Source organism: Homo sapiens, chromosome 4 (assembly GCF_000001405.40).
Source record: "Homo sapiens chromosome 4, GRCh38.p14 Primary Assembly".
NCBI classification, from domain to species: Eukaryota; Metazoa; Chordata; class Mammalia; order Primates; family Hominidae; genus Homo; species Homo sapiens.
This window is the reverse complement of record NC_000004.12, coordinates 147,698,170-147,706,847: the sequence shown is the minus strand read 5'-3', so window position 1 is coordinate 147,706,847 and position 8,678 is coordinate 147,698,170. Positions and strand designations below refer to the sequence as shown.

At 41.4% G+C, this 8,678-nt stretch overlaps 1 annotated feature.

Moving 5' to 3' along the window:
• Window positions 7,924-8,424: an enhancer, noted in NCBI's record as "H3K4me1 hESC enhancer chr4:148619575-148620075 (GRCh37/hg19 assembly coordinates)". NCBI's record gives its function as "activates a minimal SCP1, AML or CMV promoter by ChIP-STARR-seq in primed H9 embryonic stem cells {active_cell/tissue: H9 hESC(primed)}" and the evidence as "EXISTENCE:reporter gene assay evidence [ECO:0000049][PMID:30033119]".

The window sequence follows — 8,678 nt, the reverse complement described above, 5'->3', positions numbered from 1 at the left end:
GCAGAGTTTGAGAGGATTGACTCCAAGTTTTAAAGTTCTACTGTGAGTAAAATGCTATGAAACAGCATCATGTGCTACAGAGAAATCTTTCTCGAAAGGAAGAGTCAATTAATATAGCAAATTTTATTGTTGTCTTATTTAGAAATTGCCACAGCCACCCCAACTTTCAGCAACATCTACCATGATCGATCAGTCAGCAGCAATCAACATTGAGGCAAGAGCCTCCATGAGCAGAAACTGCGACTTGCTGAAGGCTCAGGTGATGGTTTGCCTTTTTTTTTTTTAGCAATAAAGCATTTTTTAATTAAGGCATGCACGTTTTTTTAAAGACATAATGCTATTGCATACCTAATAGACTACAGGGTAGTGTAAACATAACTTTTTTTTTTTTTTTTTGATACAGAGTCTTGCTCTGTCACCCAGGCTGGAGTGCAATTGTGATCTTGGCTCACTGCAACCTCCGCCTCCCAGGTTCAAGCAATTCTCCTGCCTCAGCCTCCCAAGTAGCTGGGATTACAGGCATGCACCATCACGCCCGGCTAATTTTTGTATTTTTATTAGAGATGGGGTTTCACTATGTTGGCCAGGCTTGTCTCAAACTCCTGACCTCAGGTGATCTGCCCACCTTGGCCTTCCAAAGTGCTGGAATTACAGGCATGAGCCACTGCACCTGGCCAGAAATTTAAGATCTTTCACATTTTTCCCCCTGGCTGGTCTTGAACTCCTAGGCTCAAGTGATCCTCCCATCACAGCCTCCCAAAGCGCTGGGATTACAGGGGTAAGCCACCACACCTGGCCTAAAAATGATATTTTAAAACAATAATGACCAGCCTGGGCAACATAGGGAGACCTCATCTCTACAAATAATAAAATTAAAATTAAAATTAAAATTAAGATGTCTTTTTTTATTATTGAGGTATGATGAAACCAACAGAGCAGGAGATGATTTGCAATATAGTGTCAACCTAAAATAGTCAAAAAGCTTAGGATCTAGTTAAAAGAGTTTATTTAAAAGCCAAGTGTGAGGGCAGCCATCTGGGTAGCAGAGCTACACCAAAGAATGGTGATTGGCACTTGTAATCCCAGCTACTCAGGAGGCTGAGGCAGGAGAATCACTTGACCCTGGGAGGCAGGGGTTGTAGTGAGCCGAGATCACGCCACTGCACTCCAGCCTGGGTGACAGAGCACTACTCTGTCACACACACACACACACACACACACACACACACACACACACACAAAATGGTGATTAGTTGCTGGGTGCCGTGGCTCACACCTGTAATCCCAGCACTTTGGGACGCCAAGGCAGGTGAATCACCTGAGATCAGGAGTTTGAGACCAGTCCGGCCGACATGGAGAAACCCCGTCTGTACTAAAAATACAAAAATTAGCTGAGTGTGGTGGTGGGCCCCTGTAATCCCAGTTGCTTGGGAGTCTGAGGCAGGAGAATTGCTTCAACCCAGGAACCTGGGAGATGGAGGTTGCCATAACCCGAGATTGCACCACTGCACTCCAGCCTCGGGGGGGAAAATAAAAGAATGGTGATTAGTGACCTGATGTGGAGAAAAATGAGAAATGAGGATGGTTTATATAGGCAAAATAGAGGTGTTGAACAAAATAACATTTTCTATATGAAGACTAACATATAGATATGAGATTTGATGGGCTACTATTGATTACACTCTAACAGGGTTGTTTAACATTTTATTGTAACAGTCATAGGGTCTCTATTTTTACAGCATTTAGTCTAGGTTTGAATTAAGAATAGGGATTCTGGTTAATGTATAACATCTCAACACAAAGTTTAGAAAGCAATGGTCATGCACCACAGAAGAAAAACAGTCGTGTTATGTGAGTCAGCTTTTAGGGTTTAACTTTTCTCTTTATCAAAATAAATTTGGAAGTCCTACACTTTTATTTATTTATTATTTAGTATTTATTTATTTTACAGTAGGTTCATTGATGGTAACAAATGCATTACTCTGGTATGGGATGTTGATATTAAAAGAGGCTGCATGTTGCTGGGTCAGGGTCATGTGAAAATTTTCTGTACTTTCCATTCAATTTCGTTGTGAACCTAAAATTGGTCTAAAGAATAAAGTCTTCTTAAAAATTGCCAATTCCAAGGTCATGATGATTTGCACCTATGTTTTCTTCTATAAGTTTTGTAGTTTTTGTTATTATATTTAGATTGTTGATCCACTTTGAAGTTTTGTATATTTTTAAGGCAAGTTTTCAACTTCAGAATTATTTTAGATATGGATACCCACTTGTTTCAACAGCATTTGTGAAAAAGACAATTCTTTCCCCACCAGATGGTTTTGGTACCCTTGACAAGAATCAAGTGATCAGGCTGGGCGCAGTGGCTCACGCCTGTAATCCCAGCACTTTGGGAGGCTGAGGCGGGTGGATCACGAGGTCAGGAGATCGAGACCATCCTGGCTAACATGGTGAAACCCCGTCTCTACTAAAATACAAAAAATTAGCTGGGCGTGGTGGCGGACACCTGTAGTCCCAGCTACTTGGGAGGCTGAGGCAGGAGAATGGCGTGAACCCGGTAGGCGGAGCTTGCAGTGAGCTGCGATCGTGCCACTGCACTCCAGCCTGGGCCACAGAGTGGGACTCCGTCTCAAAAAAAAAAAAAAAAAAAATCAAGCGATCGCTGGCTGGGCATGGTGACTTATACCTATAATCCAAGCACTTTGGGAGGCTGAGGTGGGAGGATCACTTGAGCCCAGGAATTTGAGACCAGCCTGCACAACACGACAAAACCCTGTCTCTATAAAAAATAACAAAATTAGCCGGGTGTGGTGGCATGCACCTGTAGTCCCAGCAACTTGGGGAGCTGAGGTGGGAGGATTGCTTGAGCCTGGGAGGTCAAAGCTGCAGTGAGCCGTGATTGTGCCTCTGCACTCCAGCCTGGGTGACAAAGCAAGACCCTGTCTCAAAACAAAAACAAAAACAAAAACAAAAATCAACTGATCATAAAAGCATGGGTTCATTTATGAACTCACAGTTTTATTCCGTTGATCTAGCCTTGTGTTAGTATCACACTCTCTTGATGGCTATAGCTTTGTAGTAAGCTTTCAAAATGAAGAAGAGTGAGGACTCCAACTGTGTTCTTTCTCAAGTTTTTTTGGCTATTCTGTGTCCTTTCCAATTCCATATAAATTTTAGGATCAACTTTTCTATTTCTTAACAAGACAATTGGCATTTTTGTTGTTGTTGTTTGAGGCAGTCTCACTCTGTCACCCAGGCTGTAGTGCAGCCTCCGCAGTGAGGTACAGTGAGGTACCTGAACCCTCCTGGGTTCAAGTGATTCTCGTGTCTCAGCCTCCCGATTAGCTGGGATTACAGGTGCCCGCCACCATGCCTGGCTAATTTTTGTATTTTTTACTAGAGACGGGGATTCGCTATGTTAGTCAGGCTGGTCTCAAACTCCTGACCTCAGGTGATCCACCTGCCTCGACCTCCCAAAGAGCTGGGATTACAGGTGTGAGCCACCGTGTCTGGTCGACAGTTGGAATTTTGACAGCGATTGCACTGAATTTATAGAACACTTTGGAGTATCACCATCTTAACAATAGTAAGTCTTATAATCTGTGAACAGTAGATGCCTTTCCATATATTTAGATCTTTAATTTCTTTCAGCAATATTTTTTAGTGTTTAGTGTACAACCCTACTATGTTGAATTTATTCCCAAGTATTTTATTCTTTTAATGCTTTCATAAGTGGGATTGTTTTATTATTTCATTTTCAGATTGTTCATTATTAATGCATAGAAATGCAACTGATTTCTAAATATTGTATTCTGCAATGTTCTTGAACTTGTTTAGTAACTCTAAGAGTTTTTTTTGTAGATCCTTTAGAGTTTTCTCTATGTAAGATTATTTCACTTGCAAACAGTGATAATTTTATTTCTTCCTTTCAAATCTGTATACCTTTGATTTCTTTTTCTTGTTTAATTGCCCTAGCTAGAATCTTCAGCACAATGTTGAATAGAATGGTGACAGTTGACATCCTTGTCTTATTTCTGATTTTAGGAGGAATGCTTTTAATGTTTCACTATTACATATGTTATCTCTGGGCTTTTTATAGATGCTATTTAGCAGACTTAGAAAGCTTTCTTCTATTTCTAGTTTCTTATGTGCTATTGTCATAAAAAGGATTTAGATTCTGTCACTTTTTCTGGGTCTATTGATAGGATTGCATGGGTTTTCTCCCCCTTCATTCTATTTCTTTGATATGTTACATTGATTAAGTTTTATAAGTTAAATCAGCCTAGCATTCCTGGGATAAATCCCACTTGATTATCATGTATAATCCTTTTTATATGCTGCTGGATTTGGTTTGCTAGCTTTTCATTGAGAATATTTGCGTATATATGCATAAGATATATTATTCTCTAATTTTCTTTTCTTCAAATATTGTGTCTGGCTTTAGTATCAGGGTATTACTGGACTCATAGACTGAGTTCAGTGTTCCTTTCCCTTCTATTTTTTTGGAAGACTTTTAGAAAAACTTGTGTTAATATTAAATTTTTTTAAATTGACACATTGTAATTGTACATAAGGATTGCGTACGATTTGATAGTTCAATGCACGTATATATTATATAATTATTACATTAGGGTACTTAGCACATCCATCATCTCATGCATTGATCTTCTTTGTGCTTACTACATTTAAACACTCTCTTCTAGCTATTTTGTAATATGCAATACCCTATGGTTAACCATAGTTACCCTACTGTGCAATAAAATACCAGAAGTTATGAAATTATTCCTCCAATCTAATTGTAGCTTTGTACCTTTCGACCAAAGTCATCCCCTCCTCCTCTCTTCCTACCCTCCTCTCTTCCTACCCTCCTCTCTTCCTACCCTCCTCTCTTCCTGCCCATCTCCAGTTTCTGATAACCACTGCTCTACTCTCTCCTTTTTTTTTTTTGAAATGGAGTCTCACTCTGTCGTGCAGCTGGAGTGCAGTGGTGACCTTGGCTCACTGCAATCTTCGCCTCCCGGGTTCAAGTGATTCTCTTGCCTCAGCCTCCTGAGTAGCTGGGATTACAAGTGCCCGCCACCATGCCCAGCTAATTTTTGTATTTTTAGTAGAGATGGGGTTTCACCATGTTGGCCAGGCTGGTCTCCAACTCCTGACCTCAAGTGATCCACTCAACTTGGCCTCCCAAAATGCTGGGATTATAGGCATGAGCCACCGCGCCCAGCCTTCAACTGTGCAGATTCATCTTTTGGGGGGCGGGGTGAAACATGGGTTTGTGTGCCCCCATGTCTCGGTCATTCTGTCAGGCCTAGACTCCAGGAAGCTGGTGTAGTGGTGCTGTAGGCACCTGTGTTTTTGTGGTAGAATGATGACAGGGCCTCAGGGATAGAGAGAGGCAGTGGATATTGGCCTCCAGGGCAGGACACACTTTAGCAGTGGGTCCATATTCAAGATGGCACCATGCTGCAGCACTTTAGGTTGTGGGGATGTGGGTGCACAATATGGGCTCCTACTCTGGAGCAATGCAGCCATGTAAATTCCTGGCAACTCTCTAAACTGGATATGGAACCTGTGAAAACTGGGGGACCCTCCTGTAGAAGGACTACTGACATCTGTGGTGGTAATGAAGTCTCCAGCTTATCTTTTCCCCATAGAAAGACTTCCCTGGCTCTGAGCCAATCCTGTTGATGGAGAGAGTGTTGTAGATGCAAGGTGCCTTGTGCTTTCCAGTGTACTTCTTCAGTCACTTGAGTTGAAATAGTGCTGTTTATTTATTGTTCTATTCCTTTTTTTTGGAGACGGAGTCTCGCTTCGTCACCAGGCTGGAGTGCAGTGGTGCGATCTTGGCTCACTGCAACCTCTGCCTCTTGGGTTCAAGAGATTCTCCTGCCTCAGCCTCCCTAGTAGCTGGGACTACAGGCAGGTACCACCACACCCATCTAATTTTTTGTATTTTTAGTAAAGACAGGGTTTCACCATGTTAACCAGGATGGTGTTCTATTCCATTTTTATGGGGAATATGAGCATCAGGCAACTCTTGGCTGTCTTGCTGATGTCAGTTTGTGTTAATCTTATTAAACTATTTGATAGAGTCACTAGTGAAGTCATCTGGTCCTGGGATTTGTTTGTTTGTTTTTTGAGACACGGTCTCACCATATCACGCAGCCTAGAGTGCAGTGGCATGATTATGGTTCACTCCAGCCTCAACCTCTTGGGCTCAAGTGATCCTCCCACCTCAGTCTCTTGAGTAGCTAGGGACTACAGGCAAGTGTCACCACGACTGGCTAATTAAAAAAAAAAAATTATTTTTGGTAGAGACAGGGTCTTGCCATGTTGCCTAGTCTGGTCTCAAACTCTTGAACTGAAGCAATACATCCACCTTGCCTTCCTAAAGTGCTAGGATTACAGGCATGAGCCACTGTACCAAGCCGAGTCCTGGCTTTTTTTGCTGAAAGTTTTTAAAAATTAGCTTTATCTCTTTCCTTGTTATAGGTTTATTTAGATTTTCTATTTTTTCATAGGTCAGTTTTGCTAATTTGTGTATTTCTAGGAATTTGTACATTTAATCTAGGTTGTCTAATTTGTTGTCATACAATTTTTTCCTAGCATTTCATTATAATTATTTTTATTTCTGTAAGAATGGTAGTAATGTCTCATATTTCATTTACGATTTTAGTAATTTGACTCTTTTCTCTTTTTTTTTTGTTCAGACTAGCTAAAGGTGCCAGTTTTGTTAATCTTTTCAAGAAATTGGTTTTTAGTTTCATTTATCTTCTCTATTGTTTTTCTATTTTCTAAATAATTTATTTCCACACTTTTGCTTGCTTTGGATTTAGTTTGCTCTTGTTTTTAAAATTTATTTTTTTTGAGGTAGAGTCTATTCTATTTTATTATTATTTTTCTGTTCTATTATTAATAAATAATTCTATTCTATTTTATTGTTAATTTTCATCTCTTTTTTTTTTTTTGAGACAGGGTCTCACTTTGTTGCCCAGACTGGAGTGCAGTGGCACAATCTCGGCTCACTGCAACATCTGCCTCCTGGGTTCAAGTGATTCCCCTGCCTCAGCCTTCCAAGTAGCTGGGACTACAGACGCATGCCACCACATCTGGCTAATTTTATGTATTTTGGTAGAAATGGGGTTTCACCATGTTGGCCAGGATGGTCTTGATCTCCTGACCTCATGATCCTCCCGCCTTGGCCTCCCAAAATGCTAGGATTACAGGTGTGAGCCACCGCCCCCGACCAGTTTATGCATTTTTAGTAGAGATGGGGTTTTGCCACGTTGGCCAGGCTGGTCTCAAACTCCTCACCTCAAGTGATCCACCCGCCTCGGCCTCCTAAAGTGCTGGGATTACAGTTATGAGCCACCACACCCAGCCTGATTTTAATTTTTAAATCTTATTTAGACGTATTTTATGAGCTAATTATAGACTATTGCAGAGAATTTTCTATGTGCACTTGAGAAGTGTGTATTCTGTTGTTGAGTGGATCATTATACACATGTTTAAGTCCAGTTGATATATAGTGATGTTCATATCTTCTATTTCTTTATGGATTTTCTGTCTAATCGTTGTATCCATTATTAAATGTAAGGTATTGAGGTCCCCTGACTATCGTTTTAAATTGTCCTTTTCTTTTTTAATGTAGTCAGTTTTAGCCTCACGTATTTCAGGGCTCTCTTGTTGGGTGCATATATACTTATAATTGTTATGTCTTTTGATGAATTGACCCTTTTACCATTATATAATGTTCTTCTTTGTCTAACAATTTTTGTTTTAAAGTCTATTTTGTCTGGTATTAGTATAGCCACAACAGCTCTATTATCAGTACTGTTTGCCTGAAATACATTTTCCATTCTTTTGCTTTCAACTGATTTGTGTATTTAATCTAAAGTGAATCTCTTGAAGATAGCATATAGTTGGGAGTTGGGTTCTGTTTTTGTTTTTTTTTTTTTTGAGACGGAGTCTCACTCTTGTCACCAAGGCAGGAGTGCAATGGTGCTATCTCGGCTTACTACAACCTCCACCTCCTGGGTTCAAGTGATTCTCCTGCCTCACCCTCCCGAGTACCTGGGATTACAGGTGTGTTCCACAAATTCCGGCTACATTTTTTTTGGTATTTTTAGTAGAGACAAGGTTTCACCATGTTGGCCAGGCTGGTCTCGAACTCTTCAGGTGATCTACCCACCTTGGCTTCCCAAAGTGCTGGGATTACAGGCGTGAGCCACCATACCGGCCTGGATTCTGTGTTTTTTGTTTGTTTGTTTGTTTGAGACGAAGTCTTGCTCTTATCCCCCAGGCTGGAGTGCAATGGCGCAATCTCGGCTCAGTGCAACCTCCGCCTCCCAGGTTCAAACGATTCTTTTGCCTCAGCCTCCTGGGTAGCTGGGATTACAGGTGCCTGCCACCTCACCCAGCTAATTTTTGTATTTTTAGTAGAGACGGGGTTTTACCATGTTGGCCAGGCTGGTCTCGAACTCCTGACCTCAGGTGGTCCACCCACCTCGGCCCCCCAAAGTGCTGGGATTACAGGCATGAGCCACTGAGCCCGGCCTCTGTTTTTTTGTTTTGTTTTTTGAGATGGTGTCTCGCTCTGTCGCCCAGGCTGGAATGCAGTGGCAAGATCTTGGCTCACTGCAAGCTCCGTCTCCCAGGTTCACACCATTCTCCCGCCT